Genomic DNA, 20,003 nt, shown 5'->3' with positions numbered 1-20,003 from the left:
CCTGAGTGACAGAAAGAGACCCCGTGTTAAAAAAAAAAAAAATCATGCTGTTTGAATGTTGCTGCTCAGTCATGGGGTTTTAAAAAGAATTCCAGGAAGCTAGGGGTTTCTGGATAAACTGGGACTCATTGAGAATGGAATTGCCCCTTCCAGCGCAAAGCTGTCTCCCTCATCATGTCTCAGCGTCTGTAAAACCCTTGGCTCTGACTTTGCCACCAAGCCTAGCAAACCCAGGGGAAACGATTTCCCTAATTAGAAATTCAGCACTGAAACCAATCAACAGCTATTGTGACTAAGTGCCAACTGCTGGGCCACATGCAAACTTCAGACTCCTCGAAGCTTCAAGACAGGCCTGCAAGGTGGTTGTGGCTGTGCCTATTGAACACAAGAGGAAACTGAGGCTGAGCACCTAAGTCATCTGAACACAGCCACAAGCCGAGAAGCGGCAGAGCCGGCAAGGAAGCCTGGACCTTGCTCTTCCATGATCCCCCCCAGGGTCCCAGGGCCAGCCTGCCTGCTCTCCCCGAGGCTGTTCCCAGCAAAGGGTCCCCCGGGGCTCTGTCTCCTTTCTGCCTTGATCCAGTCTGACTGCTGCTTCCCTGTAGGACACCTCTGAGCTTGCCTCCCTCCCCGACCCCTGCTGCTGCAGAGACAGCCAGGACTGCCTCTCTCTGAGAAGGCTTGAGAAGGCCCCGCTCATTCTCGGACACCCTTTGCCAGGCCATGAGGGGGTCTTAACCCTCCGCCTCATGTCGCCTGGCAGGGCATACTCGACTCTTTCCCTGGGTCCCAGCCCTCTGGGGCTGACCAGGTCAAACTCGCCAAGAGCTCTGGGCTCTGCAGGCTGTCCGCTGTCCCCCATGTACTTCTTTGGGGATTTTTCCTGGAGGTTACTCAGTTGCAGAGTTTACATCCTGGGCCTGTTCTCTGGGTTCTAGGCTGCACAAGACACCCGACCTCCGAGCCTAATGTCCACTCTGTGAAAACAAACCCTTCACTACATCCTGCTTCTACTACAACCCTCTCTCTTCCCATCATATCTCCAACATCAGGATAAAGTGTTAATATGGAGTTCGCCTTGGCGTGGTGTCTCCTTTTGGGGAGCACAATTCTATTTTTTGTGTGTGTGTGTGTGTGTGTGTGTGTGTGTGTGTGACAGAGTCTCACTCTGTCACCACCCAGGCTGGAATGCTGTGGCATGATCTTGGCTCACTGCAACGTCTGCCTCCCGGGTTCAAGTGATTCTCCTGCTCCAGCCTCCTGAGTAGCTGGGATCACAGGCGCCCGCCAACACACTCGGCTAATTTTTGTATTTTTAGTAGAGATGGGGTTTCACCATGTTGGCCAGGCTGGTCTCAAACTCCTGACCTCGTGATCCGCCCACCTCAGCCTCCCAAAGTGCTGGGATTGCAGGCATGAGCCACCGCACCTGGCCTGGGGAGCACAATTCTAACACATGGTCGCAGGACACAAATCAGTTTACCACAAAAATGTGACTCCAACCTGGAATTGTGTCCTGTACCAGATCTGAGAGGAAAGGTTTCTTGGGTGAGGGGATCTGGCACCATACCCCAATCATACCCACAATTGCTTTCTGTTGGTCTATGGCCAAACTGGCCTGCCCTTCTCCAGGGGAGATGAAGAGAATCCCTCTTTTAACACAGCCACATTTGTTGAGCCTGCCAGGTGCTGTGCATGGAGGCCACCATTTTACATACATTGTTTCTAATACTCACAAGTGACTGAGTATGGCTTCTGAACCATTAGCGGTCTTAGGGTCTTTTATCCTCTCTGTAAAGCAGCTTCCTCAGGCGAGGAAATTGGGCTCTAAGGAGTTAAGTAAATCATTCAAGGTTAAATAGGTAGTAAGTGACAGACCAGGAGTTCGAACCCACGTCTGTGAGTCTACAGAGGTGGCTATCCATCCACTCTCTGTTGCCATGGCAGCCGTGTCCAGGTACACAGTCTGCTCACTGCACAAGGGCACCAGCTGAAGGGATGAATCCTGCCAGCATTCTCTTCATTGAGCTGTGCTCCATCGTGCAGTGATGCCTGTTCTTGTCTGCCTGGAGGACTGCAGTCAAATGATTACAAATAGTCCCACTGATTCCCCTCCCACATCCACACCCTTTACAATGTGCCTTTGTACTCTTTCCATCAAGAGGGGAAATGTTCCTCACTCCTTGAGTCTGGGATGGTCTCTTGTGCCTAAACAAGTCAATGAAAGGCATCAGAGTGACATCATGCCAGTTCAGGGCCAGGCCTCGATGGGCCTTGCAGGCTTTGCTTCTTCTCTTGGGCCCCAGCTACTGCCATGGACACATGCCTGTGCTAACCTGCTGGAGGATGAGAAACTCGTGGCTCAGTCATCCCCATCCCAGACCAGCCAACGGCTCATCAACCACTCAGCACGTGAGCAAGGCCATCCTAGACCAGCCAACAGCCAACCAACCACTCAGCAAGTGGGCAAGGCCATCCCAGAGCAGCCAACAGCCAACCAACCACCCAGCATGTGGGCAAGGCCGTCCCAGAGCAGCCAACAGCCAACCACCCACCCAGCATGTGAGCAACGCCATCCCAGACTATCTGGCCTCCAACTGGCCCACCTCTGACCACAGATCCATGAATAAGCCCACGCAAGCTCAGGCACGCCTGATCCAGATCAGATACTTGTCCATGCCCCATGGACTTACACGTCAAATCAATGCTAATTGTTTAAGGCACCTGTTAGGGGTTGAATTTTGTCCCCTCAAAATTTGTATGTTGAAGTCTTAACCCTTAACCTTATTTGGAAATAGGGTTGTTGCAGTTGTGATTAGCTGAGATGAAGTCACACTGGAGTGGGGTGGGCCCCTAATCCAGTCTGACTGGCGTTCTTACAAAAAGAGGAAATTGGGACACAGACATGCACACAGGAAGCACACCATGTGAAGATCAGAGTTCTGTGGCCACAAGCCAAGGAGCTACCAGAAGCTCGGAAGGAACAGAACCTTCCCTGGTGTCTTTAGAGGGAGCACAGCCATGCCCACACCTTCATCTTGAACCTTCCAGCCTCCAAAACTGTGAGACAATATGTTTCTGCTGGCTAAGCCACTCAGCTTGTGGTATCGTTTCAGCAGCCCTAGCAAACTAACACAGTGCTTTTCCTCATTCACACAAAGTTAAGGTGTGGGCTGGCTTCCTTGCTTGCCTCCAGGGCAACAGCCGATCATGGCTCTCCTCCCAGTCCCCAGGTAACTCCAAGAGGGCCCAGGAATTACACCCCACCCACACTCAGTTCCTCCCCAAGGGGGCTCTGAATCTGGAAAGTCTGGGGCCTTCCAAGGGCTCTGGAGTCCTGGTCAGGGTGGGGTCATGGACCCATACAAAGAGAGCTCCTCACCCAGACCCCTCCCGGCTGCCCACTGACCTGGGTTGCCGAGGGCCATGGAGTCGTAGATGAGTTTGCAGGTCTTGAGCAGGATGGAGATCTTCTTCTCAGGTGAGTAGGCCTTGTGCATGCTGGTGAACTTCTGCAGGATCTTCTCCATCATGGGCACCTCCGGCACGCTGGTGGTCACACCTAGGTCAGTGGTGGTGGTGGCCAGGATCACTAACTGGTTCTCCTTGAGCTGCTGCAGCGAACCATCCTTGCTGTGGATCTGATGCAGGCATGAGTTGATGGCTTCCTTCAGGGGCTTCAGGACACATTTGTACAAGGCAGACTCTACAATTGCTTCTGCAGGTAAACAAGAGAGCGAGGGTGAGGAAACCAGATGCAGGGATCCTGCCACCTGGTTCTGTTGCCCAACAGCACAGCCATCCCCATCCCCTGGCCCCTGGAAGGACACTCACAGCCCCAGCAGTTATACCCTGTGGTTCTGACACATGAGAGAGCACAGTTTATTCAAGAGAAAGCCACACTGGAAAGGCACTGGCACAGGAGCCCCTGGGAACTAATGCTAACTGGTCATTGTATCCTGATGCTTTTCACAGGGCCTGGCAGAGAGCAAACTTTCACAAGGCTGCCTATGAGTACATAACTTCAGAGGGTGTTACTCACACTGGAGTTGTACAGTGTACAACCTGGGCAGCTGTATGCTGATGGCCTGAATGCCCAGTAAATGACTGGTGGAATTATTCTTGATATCTCCCTTCCAATTCCCACACCCACTTGACTCTAGTCTCAAAAATACAGTACATCCAGAACCTTACTTTTTTATCACTTCTGTGGCTACTACCTTGACCTGGGTTGGTCAGGCTACCACCATCATCTCTTGCCCAGGTTATGTCAGTCAGCTTTTGCCCTGGCCCTTATAGTCTCTTGTCAACACAGCAGCTGGTGTTGTCCTGTTATGACATCTTTGATCGTAACATGCTTCTGTTTGGAAACCTCCAACGGCCCCCATCTCCCATGCAATCAAATCAAAGCCAAAGACTCCTCATGGCCTAAGAGGCCCCGCTGTGATCGGGCCCTGTGACCTCTCACTCATTGCTTTGCTTGCTCCCCATGCTCAGGCTGCTCTGCCAACTGCCAGGCCTGCTCCTGCCCCGGGGCCTTTGCTCCTGCGGTTCCCTTTGTGTGGTGCAGTCGCCTCGCAGTCGTCCACATGGCTGGTTCCTTCACTGTTCGAATGTCGTCCTATCTGAGAGGCATTCCCGATCAGCTCTTGGAGCAGGAGTTGGCGCTCTGATCTTGTAACTGCTCTGAGGCATATGTGCTCTGATGCCCACTCTGAGGATGGACCAGCTTAGGCTCTCATGGAGTGGGTTGGGGGTTGAACAAGGACTTGAACTCATGTCTACTTGATACCAAGGGGATGTCCAGTTGCTTTGGGTGACTGTAGAAACATATTCTTAGGAAGTTGTTTTGGCCCTCCTCTGTCTCCAGGGGATGGGTCTTGGTTACGGGCTGAGTAAGGGGAGGTCCCAAGCCCTGTTCCTGTAAGGAGACACCTGTGCTGCCCTAGCCCTGAGAGAGGAGGGAGGGACTCATGCTCCCACGGGGCTGGGTCTCAACAGAGGCCCGGACAGCCCTTCCCTGCCACTCAGGCCTGGAGCTGGCCCATGGCCATCCTGGGTCCCTTGCTGCTGCCTCCCTCTTCCCCTTCAGCAGAACACAGGGCTGCCCTCACTTCCCTCACCCCGTTCCTGACCCTCCTTCCACGCCCACCTCCCGACCTCACTGGAGCCTCCGCAGGCAGAGATGGGCGCAGATGGGGGTTGACCTGGGAGCAGGGACTTGAACTTCCCCACTGTCCTGGGCTTCTGCATGACCTCGGCCATGTCTCTTCCCCTCCCAGGGCCTGTTTCCTGAACTGCAAAATGAGAGGGCTGTGCCCACGCCCTCCCGGCCCCTTCACATCTAAGAGCCGCAGGATCTCTTCCTGGCACCTCCTCTCTGGTCTGGGGCCCTCAGCAGCCTCACGTCAGGACTGTTTTGTATCCAGTTGCTCCTTGTGACTTGTCTCCCTAATCAAACCAGAAGCACCCTAAGCATGGAGTTCTGTTGGCCTTTTTTTTTTCTTTTTTGTTTTTTGAGACAGAATCTTGTTCTGTTGCCCAGGCTGGAGTGCAGTAGTGTGATCTTGGCTCACTGCAACCTCCACTTCCCGGGTTTCAAGCAATTCTCCTGCCTCAGCCTCCTGAGTAGCTGGGATTACAGGTACCCACCACCATGCCTGGCTAATTTTTGCATTGTTTGTAGAGAGGGGGGTTTCACCATGTTGGCCAGGCTGGTCTTGAACTCCTGATCTCAAGTGATCTGCCCTCCTCGGCCTCCCAAAGTGCTGGGATTACAGGTGTGAGCCACCACACCCCGCCCTGTCTGGCCTTTTTATGTGGTTTAAGTTCCTTCACCATCTGACTGGCCACACACATGGGCAGAGCTTGGAAGGGAGAGGCAGAGGCAGAGACTCAGCTCATGGAAAGGGCTGGGCTGCCTGGGTCTGAAGCCCAGCTCTACTACCAGCTCTGTCCTCATGGCCAGGTCACCAAACCTCTCTGAGCTGTGGCTTCTTGGGCATGACAATAGCCAAGCCCATCTGGTCTGGTTTGTAGTCATGAGGCTGACACATGCAGTGTCTGGAATGGCACCATTGCTGTGGATGCTGACCCTGTTCCCAAAGGCTGAAGGGCCCTTCTCTCCATCTCTGTAGCTCCAGCCCTTCCCATCCTTGGTGGCTCAGCTCAGCTGCCACCTCTCACTGCCTGGAAACCTCTCTGCCCCACACATTCGTGCCCACGGCAGGCTCTGGTGACACTTTGCCATATCACCTGCCAGGACAAACTCCAAGTCTAGCACCTCTTGACATCTTGGTGCCCGAAGCAGATTTGGCCTTAACAGGACCCATGGTGTGTCTGCATCCTGCCAGCCAGCTGCCCCAAGGCTGAAGTCATTCCTGCTGTTTCCAGCAGAGGTCCAGCTTGTGCTCCACCTCCTTTGCTCTGCTGAAGGCCACCGGGTACTGGCCTTGCCCCGCCGCAGCCTCCTGAGCCGTCCCCCTGTCTTGTCCCCTCTCCTCTGCCCTCCACACACACCCTTCAGGGGCTCCATCACCTCTGGGCTAAATCCTCAGGCTGACTTTCACTGCCTGTGTGAATGGCCCGTGATCCTCCAGCCTCGTTCCCCACCTCTCGGCCTTTGTCCACGCTGTCATCCCTTTCCGGAAGGAAAGTCCTTCCACTACCCTTTCCACGGCTTAGCATCCCTGACTCCTCCTTTGGGCCTCAGCTCTTACACTCCCCCAACTCTGGAAGGCAGGGCTGACCACAGTTTCCTCTGGGCCACTTGGAGTTTTCCATGTCCTTCCACGTCCTCCCATGCCCTTCTGTGTCCTCCTGGTCTGCACGGTGCCTGTGGCTCAGTCCTCAGACCCGGATGATCTCATCCAGTCTCATGGCTCCTTTTGTGCTGACAGTTCCCAGACATCTCTCTTTAGCCCCAGAACTGCAGACTCAGCCCTCCATGGCCCGCTCGACCTCCCCACCTGGTATCTAATAAGCATCTCCAGTGTCATGTCCCAAACTGAACTCCTCAACTCCTCCCCAGTGCCTGCCCCAGGATGGACGCTGTGTCCTCCCAGGGACGCCAATGCTCGTCCACATCCTACCTCCCCTCTACCACTCCTGCATCTGGCCTCCAGCCAGTCCTGTGGCTCCAGCTTCACAACAGGCAGAATCCAATCATGTCTCCCCATCTGTGCTGCCTCCGTCCTGGTCTCAGCCACCTTCACTGCTCACCTTGGCTCTGACAGTAGCCTCACACTGAGTCTGAGTCTCTCTGCTCCCACTAGGTGTGACGGCCAGAGTGACGTTGTTCACATGTGAGTGAGGTCACTCACCCTTGGACGTGAACCCTGCACGACCCCATCTCACATACAGGAAAAGTCAGGTTGATAGAGAGGCTCACAAGGTCCTTGGGGTCCTGCCCCCCAACAGCCTCCTGACCTCACTTCCATCCACATGCACTCACTAATGTGTCTCCTTACACTATACTTTACTCTCTCTCTCTCTCCCTTTGTCTCTCTGTCTCTCTGTCTCTTTCCTTCTTGAGACAGAGTCTCGCTCTGTTGCCCAGGCTGGAGTGCAGTGGCACAATCTCGGCTCACTGCAATCTCCGCCTCCTGGATTCAAGCAATTCTTGTGCCTCAGCCACCTGAGTAACTGGGACTACAGGCACATGCCACCATGCCCAGTTAATTTTTCTATTTTTTTTTTTAACTTTTATTTTTTTGAGACAAAGTCTCACTCTGTTGCCCAGGCTGGAGTGCAGTGGCACAATCTGGGCTCACTGCAACCTCTGCCTCCCTGGTTCAAGCAATTCTCCTGCCTCAGCCTCCCGAGTAGCTGGGATTACAGGTGCGCGCCACCACACCTGGCTAATTTTTGTATTTTTAGTAGAGATGGGGTTTCACCATGTTGGCCAGGCTGGTCTCAAACTCCTGACCTTAGGTGATCCACCTGCCCCCCAACGTGCTGGGATTACAGGCATGAGCCACTGCACCCGGCCCTACTCATCCTTCTTGCTGATTGCCTGTCACCTCTGATAGACCGTAAGCTCCCCGCAGGCAGAAACTTTTGAGTGCTTTGCTCACCTCTGTCTCTATATCTGAGCCAGCACCTGATGCGGAGTTGGGTGCCCAATAACTCTTTGTCGACTCTCTGCTTACAGGGCCCTGTGCAGACGCACACACAGCACTGGCCTCAGATCTCAATCCCATCACCCCTCACCACACCTGAAACGCCATCATGAATCCTGTGGCCTGGCAAACCTATTCGTTTTCAGGAGTCTGCTAGCAAAATCCAGTAGCCCTGGGAAAGGAACACCTGAAGCTCCTTTTCTAAGAAACATTCGCTACGAAGCTACTGTGTTCAGAGGCCCACGTGTCCTTTACCGTACCCAGCACTGACTCTTTCATTATTGGGTGGGGAAGGAGAGGCTTAGGGACGCCAGGGGACGGCTGGGGCAGTAACTATTTACAAACTAGCTCAGAAGCAGCTCAATGTTTAGCAACCACTTTTTGGCTACGGCAGTGCGAACTGACAGAATGTATTTTTTTTCTTTTCTTTTCTTTTTTTTTTTTTAGACAGAGTTTTGCTCTTGTCGCCCAGGCTGGAGTGCAGTGGCACAATCTCGGCTCACTGCAACCTCTGCCTCCCAGGTTCAAGCAATTCTTCTGCCTCAGCCTCCCGAGTAGCTGGGATTATAGGCATGCGCCACCACACCTGGCTAATTTTTGTATTTTTAGTAGAGATGGGGTTTCACCATGTTGGCCAGGCTGGTCTCGAACTCTTGACCTCAAGTGATCCCCCCACCTCAGCCTCCCAAAGTGCTGAGATTACAGGCATGAGCCACCACGCCCAGCTATTTTTTTCTTTTTGAGACAGGGTTTCGCTCTGTCACCCAGACTGGAGTACAGTGGCAGGATGTTGGTTCTTTGCAGCCTTGGCCTTCAGGGCTCAAGCAATCCTCCTGCCTCAGCCTCCCAAATAGATGAGACTACAGGTGCGTGCCTCCATGCCTGGCTAATTTTTGTATTTTTTGTAGAGACGGGGTTTTGCCATGTTGCCCAGGCTGGTCTTGAACTCCTGGGCTCAAGCGATCCTCCTGCCTTGGCCTCCCAGAGTGCTGGGATTATAGGCTTGAGCCAGTGCGCCTGGCCTGAATATTTTTAATATACGTAGGCGTGTGGTTGTTCACAAGTACTTTTCACCGTGAACCACAATCGGAAAAGCTTTGATAATTATTGGATTCGAGGCTGGTGAGGGTGGGGAAGGCTAGGGGCTACTTTAGAAGGGGTGGTCAGAGGAGTGAGCTGTTTGGGGCTGGTTCCCTGAAAGCAGAGCGTGAAAGAGGGATCTGGGTGCATATGATTTCACTGCGGAGACTCTCAGAAGACAGAGAGTGAGCGCAGTGGGAAGCCGCAGAGCGAGCTTGAGCAAGGATGAACTCAGCCTCAGCCAGATCTCGCCGGGCCCTGGAGCATAAACTGCACCACACAGTGGTCCTGCTTGAGGCGAAGGGGCCAGTCTTTGTCCCCCATGGCAGGGAGTAATTGGCAGTGGGCCCCTGATGGTGGAAGAGAGGGTGCAGATAATACAGATCCTATACAGTCAAGGTCAATTCTCTAGGGAAGGGGGGGAGCCGGGCACCATTAGCAGCCTACCTTGCAGCAGCCAGAGAAAGTTCCTGGTGCCCAGGAAGGGATAGGGGGTGGGCACCAACAGCGTCCACTGCATAGGCCTCTTTTGTCCTAAGGGGTTCCTGAGTCTGTGAGCCCCACCGCCCTCTCCTCCCTGCCACCTCCTCCCAGGGCACTGACCGAGCTCCTCCTCGGAGTGCAGGGCGGGGTCCACCAGGGCCTTGAGCTCGGTGCTCTGCAGCAGGTAGCTCTTGAGCTGGGTCATCATGGTGCGAATCTCCTGCAGCATCTCCGTGCTGGAGGTCTGGCGCGCCATCATCTCCAGGCTGTACACCTTGTAGTCCTGCACCAGGCTGCCAAAGTACGAGCCCTTGTCCTGCGCCAGCTCCACCACCTTCTTGTACAGCTTGCGGTTGTTGGAGAGGAAAGCGTGGAACATGCTGCTGAAACTGGCAAAGCTCAGCCGGTGCCGAGCCTTGCCCAGGATCATGGAGGGCTTCTTCTTCACGCTGGGGCTGCTGAACTGCTCCAGCTCCTCCTCCGTGCTGCTGGTGGAGTAGGAGTCCTGGTCGGTGGCCATGACAGACACCCCCAAGCTGTCTGAGAGGGAGGCCAGGGAGCCCTTGAACTCTGGAGAGCTCTGGGAATGGGCAGTGGCCTGGGCAGGAGGGTGCTGAGTCCCAGCCTGAGAAGCAGGGCTTTGGCCCTCTCTGGGTGGACCCGGCGTGGGTGTCTCCAAGGCCATCGCCTGTGTGCAGAGCTCAGCGTTCTCTAAGGGAGCTGGGAGGGTCGAGGCCAGTTGTCGAGAGATCCGTTTTTTCCTGGGGGGCGGGACTGGGGGTTGTTTGGCTGTCCTGGGCAGCTCTGGCATGCTGTGAGGATCGCTGGCTTTCACCTCTGTGTCCTGGCCTTGCTCCGTGCTCTCCCGGGGCGTGTCCTCAGGGCCGTCTGAGGTCCCTTGGGGAGGCAGGCTGAGCTGGTCCCCCTCTGCCGCCATCCCCGGACTTTGGTCTTCTAAGGACACCCTCTCGGAAACGCGGCGTCTGGGAGGGGCAGTGGGAAGGTTCTTCTTCGCAGGCAGTGGCGGGGCGGGGACCTGCTGCAAGGGACTGGAGGCTGCCCCTGGCTTCATCGCTTCCTCCCTGAGGGGGCCCAGGCCTGCAGTGGGGCATGGGAGTCTCTCGCAGGTCATCATGGGCGGCTGGTTCGGATGGTCTGGGGGACCTGGGGCATGGGGTGTGACGTGGGGGGCAGGCACTGGGGGAGAGGTGGGCAAAGGACAGGCAGGGGCGGGGGCAAGAGCAGGGAGCACAGGGGGCTGGGCTGGGCTGCAGGGCTGCAGGGGCAGCACTGGGGGAGGGGGTGGTGGGCGGCGTGGGGCCCACCTGGAGGTGGGTGAGGTGGCATCAGAGGTGGGCGGCAAAGGGCGTGCAGGGCAATTTCCAAGAGGTGGCTGGTCGGTGGGCAGGGCGCTGCTGCAGTCCTCGATGAAAATAGGATTCACAAACCACAGGCGGTCATTTCCTACCGACAGCTCGATTTCACAGGCACAGTTTGCGTCATGGGCTGTGGGCCTGAGGCTGGAGACTAGGGGGAATCCGGGGGCCCGGTCTCTTGGGGGCTCTGCTGGCTTCCCTCTTTCTTGTGGAGGATTCAGCGAGGAGTCCCAGAAACCTGTGGAAGCAAGAGAGGGGCAGGGGGTCAGTCTGTGCCAGGGACTAGGTGTTGCTGTGCTGGGCGGGGTCTGTGGGCGGGGTCCACGGGTGGGAGGGCTGTTCAAGGCATTTGCTTCACTACTCCGAGGTTGAGGTTGTTTTCCCCTCTTGGACGCTTTCAAACCTCTCCCACCACTTCCTGCCTCGAGAGGGGAAGCCCCACTCAGTCCTCCCCAGCAGTGTAGGGTGAGGCCGGGGGTGATGTGATAAGCTCAGCTTCAGTTCTCTTCCTTGGTGTGAGAGCCCACATTGGAGGGCATTGATGACACAGGGTGGGGGGTGACAACACTGTGCTCTGGAGCCGTGGGGAAGGCATGGTGAGAGCACAGGGGACGGAAGGCCTGGAATTCCTGCGGCCAACCAGCTGGGTGCTCTGGGGCAGGTGGTTTGACCTTCCTAGGCCTCAGTCTAGTCATCCCTAAAATGGGGTCACAACAGTACACACATCACAGGCACACGAGGAGGAAGGAACATTGGGCCTGTTTTGGCCTCCATGGTTATTATATGTGGGAAGGACGAACCTATGGATTGTGGCCAGCGAGATCAGACCCGGCTGTCCAAGCGGGGAGCAGCCACCCACCACAAAGTGATTCTGACTCCAGTCAACCTCGAGCTTAAAATAAGAAGCTGGTCGTCTGCCCCAGTCAGGGGAAGCCAAGGCTCCTGCACCGTGGAGCTGAGTTCCAGTGCGTGCCTCTCTACCGACCCAGTCCCCAGGGGCTCAGTCATGGCTGTGGCCACCAAAGCAGGCTAGGGACAGGCAATCTTGATCTGTGGGGACCACACTCTGCCAAGCATCTGACGGAGGCTCAGGACCCTCCAAAGAGCACACAGGGATGCTACATCTTGGGAACAATTGCAGTCAGTGCATAGGCCACCCTGCGTTCACTCAAGCTTCCTCCTGGAGAGAAACAAGGGTCCCAGGTCTTGTTCAGCCTGCTAGGTTTGGAGCTGGACAGAGGATGACCCAGGCAGATGCAGAGTTCCTTGTGAATTGGTGCAGCCAGCCTTTCACCCAGGGCTCTTCACTCCTGGGAGGAATTCACCCTTAAGAAAACTATGGAAAATAACATCAAGGATAATCAGAGGAGCAAACATCCATGGCGTTCTTGCTGCGCGTGAGCCCACGGGCTCCTTGCTTTACCTGGGTTATCTTGCCGACCCCTGATCATAGGCCTTGCCCCCAGTTCACAGATGAGGGTAAGAGGCTCAGAAACATGAAAGCACTCGCCCTGTGTCACCGGATTGGGGAGTGAGACGCTGGGATTTGACCAGGTCGGGCTGGTTCTACAGCCTGTGTGTTTAGCCTCCGTGTTAGGCGGCCTTCCTTCATAGGAACTTGCGACACTTCCCATATTTTGGTTGCTCTCCCGGCATCGGTGAGTAGCAGGGTGGCTTGCAGCCCAGAACTCAGGATGTGGCAACAACACAACAGGCTCTTGATGTTGAAAGGAGACCTCACAAGATGGCCTGGAGCAGCCAAGCGTGTGCTCGCTCTAAGAGGTGGGCACTATCAGGGATGTAGGCATTTGCCATCTTGCTGGCTGGGGTCACCAACGCAATCAGGGTAAGCAGGTGCCTTTCCAGGACAAAGGGACTGAAGAAACAGACCGGAAGTGAACTGCGACCCACCAGCTGTGTGCACCCCTCTGAGGTGCACCCCCCAGCCCTGTCCTGGGCAGATACCCTGTGTCTGGCTGCCTGAATATCACAGCCAGTGGAGAGAGACCAGGTCTCATCACACTAACAAGCATGACAACCTTTCCTGTGACTCTTTCCAATGTGCAAAGCTCTGTGCCCATCACAGTCACCGAGGACATGGTATCCAGAGCGGCCTCTCCCAGGGCCTGGACGAGCTGCTCTTTGTGACTGCCAGGGCCCTTTGCTTTCTTGGGCAGCGCATGGCTCCTCCATGTATGCCTCACTCTCCCAGGCACCTTGCCTCGAGTACATACATGTTCTGGCCCCTGCAGTGAGTGTTTGAAGCACTGTGCCCATGTCTACACAGGCCCCTGGAGTGAGTGAGTGAAGCACTGTGCCCATGTCTACACAGGACCCTGGAGTGAGTGTTTGAAGCACTGTGCCCATGTCTACACAGGCCCCTGGAGTGAGTGTTTGAAGCACTGTGCCCATGTCTACACAGGCCCAACAAAGTTGCCTCCTTGGGAGTTTTCCTAGCAAGGAGAAGCAGGCAGCCAGACTGATCCCAGGGTAACTGGGCAGCAGCCCCACATGTGAGCTGAGACCCCCGGTGCCCACCTCCAGACTCTTCCTGTGGGTGAAGGTGGTGTCATGGGGGTAGATAACATATAGAACTGCCCACTGGTGCCGGGACACCCCATGACTGCTCACCCAGATCACGGCTGTAGCCGCCCCCTCTACTCCATTCTCCTCCTGGGGTCCTCGGCTGGGCATACGGCAGGCCCTTGGTGGTTCTCTGTAGAGAATCGCTTTCAACCCTTTAGCCTGGCATTCCAGTCTGCAGGAACTGGCCCCTGCACATCTTCTCTGGCATCATCTACCGAGTCTTCACTCCACTCTATCTGCCGTTCACTCCTTCCTCCACGTGCCATGCGCTGCCCCACCAGCAGGTCTTGGCTAATGCTATTCCCTCAGTGTGGAATCCTTTTCCCACCCTCTCCACCTGGCAAATGCTTACTCATCCTTCAGGGCTCAGGTCAAATGCGACCTGTCTGGTAGCGCCTCCCTGATGTGCTCAGGCCTTGCCCACCCCGCCTGTGTTCCTGCAGCTCTGATATGCCTGTGACAGCAGTGACCATCACTGGGACTGTAATTCTCTGTTTTTTGCCTGACTTTCCCACCAGACTCAGAGTTTCCAGAAGGCAGTCAAATCTTTCAGCTGTCTGAGTATTCCCAGCACCTGAGACAGTGCTTGGCCCAGAGCAGGGGCCCAGTGTCAGCCCCTTGGCACCCATGAGTGGATTAGCTTAGCCGGAGTGGAGAGTCAGGCCTCTGAGGAAGGGGACACAGGCAAGGTTAGTTTCAAGGGCAAGATGGGGACAACCTGAACCATGGGAGGATGTGTAAATACAAGACAGTGAGAGGAGGCAGGAAGGAGGGCACAGGAGCCCCGTAAACGGATGGGCCACCAGCCGGGCAGCCTGCCACGGGACAGGATGGCTCCATTAGGCACAGAACAGAAGACAACATTTCCCATTGCTCAGGTGTGGATTTTGGCAGGAACAGAGCAGACACGGGTTCAGGCAAATAGGCTCTCGGCCTGGGTACCTGGGACACAGCTTCCCTGCCCCAAGACAGGCCTGGGGTTTGCACCCTGGCAAACCCTGGCAGGGCAAAGTTCTCAAAGCCAATGTGACTCCAAGGAGTGGGGGAAGCCAGGAGCTAATGGGCTGCATCCTGGGGTCTTGGGACCTGTTAGGGAACCACAGTGGCATTGCAGGGCTTTATGCTCCAAAAAAAAAAAAAAAAGGGAAATGAGTAACTTTCTCTGCAGCCTGAGAACGCCAAGGCCAGGGGAGAAACAGAACCCTGTGTCATGCAATCCTAGTGGTTTGGTTGGCAAAGCTGTGGGGTCCAGTCCCCAAAGGCACCATACTGAGCCTTGGCTCTGCTGCGAGAGTTCCCCTAAAGAAGGGCCCATCCTTGCCCTGGCCTCAGACTGAGGCCACGATTTTGCTGGCCCCAAGGCCTGTTGAGCGTTGGCTGGGGACACCTCTTGCCAGATGCCCACTCTTTCTACCCTCAGAGAACCTGGGCCACATCACAGGCTGGGCTGTAGGTCCTGAGGGCAAACTCAGACTCTACCCCTGGGGAGCTTGGGGCTGGTGGCAGGACAGGAAGGGGATGAGTAAAGGCAAAGTGTTCCAGATGCCACGGAAACACTAAAAAATCCAACAAGGCCAGTGAATAAATATTCATGTGGCATCCCAAAGACAGAGGCTGTTACACAGTCAGTCAAAGTCAAGTTTTCAATGAATTATTAATAACTAGGAAAATGCTCATCATCTGATGTAAAGGAAAAAGCAAGTTACAAGCAAACTTGGAAGAGCCACAGAACAGATGCCTTTCCTAAACATATTTTTGAAGTATTAAACACATACACACTGTAACATGTTTGAAAACCACTGCGAGTAATCCCTATTCTCTAAATTCCTTGGACGCTTGTAATCAACTGCTGAATATAGTTGAGGGCTGAATTGCTCCTCCTTATGTTAGTTTTCTGGCCTTGACTAACTGGTAAGCTCTTAAAGTCCAAGATTACACCTTATATAGCCTGCACTTTCGAACGCTGGCTTTTCCAAGTCCGAATTTGGACTTTCTTACGTCGGCTCATGAAGGCACACTGTGAGCCATCACATGGCACTCAGCCTGCAAGTCAATAGCTGAGTTTCAGCAACATCATCCCTATCTCAAAAGCAGGCCTGGTGCAACTCTTTGGACATTTGTTGCATTCTTCTCATAGGAAAATGAGTGGCATGCCAAACAAATAAAACTGATGACACTAATGATAAGAAACATATATGCCTCATGAACTTCCTGTAACTACAAGATCATCCAGCGGACTGGAAACCCAGTAAATCTTTAGCCTTAACTAGACATTCCTTGGCTCTGGGCTCTAGGGAAAAAACTGAAAGTCACAAATATATTCGCACAAAATCAGAAGGCAAGAAACCAAAACTGTATTTTCAGTTGCGTCTAGGTGTATTAAGGAAAAGAAACTGGAAGGAAACACACCCTGAACTTGCAGCAGGGGTGAGATTATATGTGGTTTTCATCCTCAGCCTTTTCTGGTCTTGTCAGTTAAAAACAAACACACATGGCCGGGAGCTGTGGCTCACGCCTGTAATCCCAGCACTTTGGGAGGCCGAGGCGGGCCGGATCACCTGAGGTCAGGAGTTCAAGACCAGCCTGGTCAACATGGTGAAACTCCATCTCTACTAAAAATACAAAAATTAGTCAGGCGTGGTGGCAGGTGCCTGCAATCCCAGCTACTCTACTCCAGAGGCTGAGGCAGGAGAATCGCTTAAACCTGGGAGGCAGAGGTAGCAGTGAGCTGAGATCGTGCCACTGCACTCCAGCCTGGGCAAAAAGAGTGAGACTCCATCTCAAACAACAAACAAACAAACACAACATGCTTGACTTTTATTATAAGATGAAAAAGTGTCATAAGAAAAAGCAGCACATGGCGGGCATGTGGAGGGCATGGTGCAGAGGGTGGGGCCCACTACCCTGCCTATCCCAATGCCAAATCCAGGCTTCCTTGGCAAAAGGGCGCCATGCTGTTTTCCACTGCAGGCACGGCAAGCGGAGGAAAGGGCCGAGGGGCGGGAAGTGGTGAGCAAGGCTGAGAATCAGGGCATAGCGCAGGCAGAGCACGGGGTTCAAACTCAGCAAGCCCTGAGTATGAATTCAGCTTTTGTTTACATCCCAAAATGAGGAAAGCCCTTTAGTCGATCTCTCTTTCTCTCTCTGGATAATAGCTTTATTGAGATACCACTCCCATACCACAGAGTTCACTCATTTAAAAAACATGCTCATGTTTTTCAGTGTATTCACTGAGTTGTGCAACTCTCACCGCAATCAATTTTAGAGCTTTTTTTTTTTTTTGAGAGAGAGTCTCGTTCTGTCACCCAGGCTGGAGTGCAATGGCACGATCTTGGCTCACTGCAATCTCCACTTCCCGAGTTCAAGTGATTCTCCTGCCTCAACCTCCTGAGGTTGGGATTATAGGCATGTGACATCACGCCTGGCTAATTTTTGAATTTTCAGTAAAGATGGGGTTTCACCATGTTGTCCAGGCCAATCTTGAACTCCTGACCTCATGATCCGCCCGCCTTGGCCTCCCACAGTTCTGGGATTACAGGCGTGAGCCACTGCGCCCGGCCTTTAGGGCATTTTTTATCACCCCAAAAGAAAGCCCGTGCCTATTTAGCAGTCACTCTCCATCCCCCTTTCTATGCAGCCCCTGGCAATCGCCAATCTGCTTTCTGTCTCTATGGATTTGCCTATTCTAGACATTTTATTCAAATGGAACTGTAGCATATGTGGTCTTTTGTATCAGCTCCCTTCACTTAGCATGTTTTCCAGGTTATTCCATGCTGCACCACGTGTCAGTCCCTGCACTTCATTCCTTTTTATAGCTGAATAAACCCTTTAGACTCTTTAACTTTCCATTTCCTTATCTGTAAAACGGGCTTTTACATAAATAAATGAGATAATGTATGTGTGGGCATGTGGCAATGAATTTGCCTCCCATTGTCCTTTTGGTCTTCCCTGAAATGCTGACTATACAAGGTAACCCCTGGCTCACAGGGCCTCATCACTAGGCTGGCCAGGGATCATCTGGTTCTCCTTGGACAATCTGAATGAAGAACAGTGGTCAGGTGGGGCTGCGAGCTGAGTCAGAGCCCCGCTAGTCGGGGGAGCAGGGGAGTAGGAACCTGAGTCAGCAAGGAGGCCATGTGCAGGGAGCAAGGGGCTGGCACGTGTGACCGAGCAGCTGCAATGGCCCACAAAGCCCAGCTAACCCTCCGTCTCCATTTCTCAGAGGGTCCCTGGCGTCCTTTCTCTAAGTCTCTTTTTGATGCTAGTTTGAGTGAGTTTCACTTCTTTGCCACCAAAGTCCCTTCCTAGAACAATGTGTGACATGCCAGGCACAATGCCTGGTGTGTCAGGGCCCTTGACAAACGCTGCTCTTTCCATATTTATTATCACTATTTCACATGAAGGTTGGCAGGGCCCAAGCCTGCCCATGCCAGGGCCAAGGTCTCTGGCCTTTGATAGGATGTGCTCCTTGCGCCCTGGGTCTCCAGCCATTCAGATGACTGTAAAGTGAACCTTTCCTTGGCTCCAGGGGAAAATGATTGTGGTGAGCCTGGCTTTATGTCTTTCAGCACTCGGGGACACCAGGTCTGCACGGATCCCTTCAGCTCCTAAGCTGCAACACACTCAGCTTCCATTTAAATCCTGTTCTCTAGGAAGTAAGTGCTGATAGATGAATCTGAACTGCTGTTGGCTTCCCAAATGGAAACCTCCCTTCTCCACTTCCTCCTCGTGCCTGAGATCAAACTCTCCCAGGAGAGAAGGTCTTGTCTGTGCCAGAAAGGAATGCAGTTCTTCCAGGAGGAACATCGCCTTTAAAAAAAAAAAAAAAGCATGTTCCTAGGTCTTAGGAGAAGCTGTGCTCTTGCAGGTGAGAGGAATCTGTAGGGAGTCTCCCGGCAGTTAGTCCTAGGGATGACTAAACCCCATAGCGGGGTCAAGAGGTGCAGCAATGTGTCATAGACTGAGGCCATGCATCTCACTTACTCTACCAACATGGCCTGCAAACTGGCCATTGACTGCTCGTTGCAAAAACAACAGAGAAGGTGGGGAGGTGCAGCTGAGGAGCAGTAGAAAGGCTGTCCTCAGAGGCAGAAAGCCCTCAGTGCAAATCTTGTCTGGGGCACTTTACAGGTGTGAGCCACCAGGCCCAGCCCTGAGGATTTCTTCAGGGAAAAGGAGAGCATGTTTCACATAGCTGCTCAAGAACCGCTGAGGACAGAAAGCCTTTGGTGCAAATCTTGTCTGGGGCACTTTACACAAGGTTCCCAGCGGAGCTAAAACTTGATCTTCTAATTTTTTTTTTTTTTGAGGCAGAGTCTCAGTCTGTTGCCCACGCTGGAGTGCAGTGGGGCAATCTCAGCTCACTGCAATCTCCGCCTCCCAGGTTCAAGCAATTCTCCTGCCTCAGCCTCCGGAGTAGCTGGGATTACAGGCACATGCCATTATGCCCACTTAATTTTTATATTTTTAGTAGAGACGAGATTTCACCATATTGGCCAGGCTGGTCTTGAACTCCTGACTTCAGGTTATCTGCCCGCCTCGGCCTCCCAAAGTGCTGAGATTATAGGCATGAGCCACTGTGTCCAGCCAGTGTTCTATCTTTAAAATGCACAAAAATGACATAAGACAATGCCAAGTGCTCTGCAATGGTCGGTGTCATCGAACCCCTAGGGGGAGGTCATCTGCACCTTACAAAAGTGCAAATTACAAAACTGTCACCTGTCCCACATCCAAGATCCTGGGAGGGTTGGAGCCCAACAACTAACATTCTGGGAAGCAAAGTTTAATAGCAAGTTGATTCCCAAAAGCAACTGAAAACTTGCCCTTAGGGTTATAACTGGGTAAATTAGACCTAGAAGAATTTGGATAAAGAGCTAAGAGGCGGCCGGGTGTGGTGGCTCACGCCTGTAATCCCAGCACTTTGGGAGGCCGAGGTGGGTGGATCATGAGGTCAGGAGTTCAAGACCAGCCTGACCAATATGGTGAAACCCTGTCTCTACTAAAAATACAAAAATTAGCCAGGTGTGGTGGCATGCGCCTGTAGTCCCAGCTACTCGGGAGGCTGAGGCAGAAGAATCGCTTGAACCTGGGAGGTGGAGGTTGCAGTGAGCCAAGATCGCACCACTGCACTCCAGCCTGGGTGACAGAGTGAGACTCCATCTCAAAAAAAAAAGAGTTAAGAGGCACCATGAGACGATGGCAGGTGTGGGAGCTAAACGGCCTGGGTTCATCCAAGCTCTGCCATGTGCTGTGTGAAACTGGACATGACTTAACCTCTTGTGCCTCAGTTTCCTCTGCCATAGAAGGGGAATTATAATAATAGTACTTGCTTTATAGGATTGTTTGAAGCTGCGACGAG

General features: G+C 53.6%; 1 protein-coding gene across 2 annotated transcripts in view, besides 7 other annotated features; it reads right to left on the bottom strand.

The window, feature by feature from the left end:
• The window catches only part of RIN3 (Ras and Rab interactor 3), a 175,214-nt gene that overhangs the window by 26,116 nt on the left and 129,095 nt on the right, over positions 1-20,003 (bottom strand). For both annotated transcript variants that reach the window (NM_024832.5, NM_001319987.2), the window contains 2 exons: positions 9,804-11,297; positions 3,410-3,718 (listed from right to left, as the gene is read on the bottom strand). In NM_024832.5, the coding sequence (NP_079108.3) occupies positions 3,410-3,718; positions 9,804-11,297 (1,803 nt within the window). The remainder of the gene's footprint in view (positions 1-3,409; positions 3,719-9,803; positions 11,298-20,003) is intronic.
• Positions 574-1,075: an enhancer, noted in NCBI's record as "H3K4me1 hESC enhancer chr14:93128149-93128650 (GRCh37/hg19 assembly coordinates)". NCBI's record gives its function as "activates a minimal SCP1, AML or CMV promoter by ChIP-STARR-seq in naive H9 embryonic stem cells {active_cell/tissue: H9 hESC(naive)}" and the evidence as "EXISTENCE:reporter gene assay evidence [ECO:0000049][PMID:30033119]".
• Positions 6,354-6,855: an enhancer, noted in NCBI's record as "H3K4me1 hESC enhancer chr14:93122369-93122870 (GRCh37/hg19 assembly coordinates)". NCBI's record gives its function as "activates a minimal SCP1, AML or CMV promoter by ChIP-STARR-seq in naive H9 embryonic stem cells {active_cell/tissue: H9 hESC(naive)}" and the evidence as "EXISTENCE:reporter gene assay evidence [ECO:0000049][PMID:30033119]".
• Positions 9,465-9,654: an enhancer, noted in NCBI's record as "active region_8942". NCBI's record gives its function as "activates an Ori minimal core promoter by ATAC-STARR-seq in GM12878 lymphoblastoid cells {active_cell/tissue: GM12878}" and the evidence as "EXISTENCE:reporter gene assay evidence [ECO:0000049][PMID:35858748]".
• Positions 9,865-9,964: an enhancer, noted in NCBI's record as "active region_8941". NCBI's record gives its function as "activates an Ori minimal core promoter by ATAC-STARR-seq in GM12878 lymphoblastoid cells {active_cell/tissue: GM12878}" and the evidence as "EXISTENCE:reporter gene assay evidence [ECO:0000049][PMID:35858748]".
• Positions 11,565-11,954: an enhancer, noted in NCBI's record as "active region_8940". NCBI's record gives its function as "activates an Ori minimal core promoter by ATAC-STARR-seq in GM12878 lymphoblastoid cells {active_cell/tissue: GM12878}" and the evidence as "EXISTENCE:reporter gene assay evidence [ECO:0000049][PMID:35858748]".
• Positions 12,075-12,134: an enhancer, noted in NCBI's record as "active region_8939". NCBI's record gives its function as "activates an Ori minimal core promoter by ATAC-STARR-seq in GM12878 lymphoblastoid cells {active_cell/tissue: GM12878}" and the evidence as "EXISTENCE:reporter gene assay evidence [ECO:0000049][PMID:35858748]".
• Positions 16,034-16,083: a silencer, noted in NCBI's record as "silent region_6037". NCBI's record gives its function as "represses an Ori minimal core promoter by ATAC-STARR-seq in GM12878 lymphoblastoid cells {active_cell/tissue: GM12878}" and the evidence as "EXISTENCE:reporter gene assay evidence [ECO:0000049][PMID:35858748]".

Source organism: Homo sapiens, chromosome 14 (assembly GCF_000001405.40).
Source record: "Homo sapiens chromosome 14, GRCh38.p14 Primary Assembly".
NCBI lineage: Eukaryota > Metazoa > Chordata > Mammalia > Primates > Hominidae > Homo > Homo sapiens.
The sequence above is the reverse complement of the archived record's forward strand: the minus strand, read 5'-3'. Positions and strand labels throughout refer to the sequence as shown.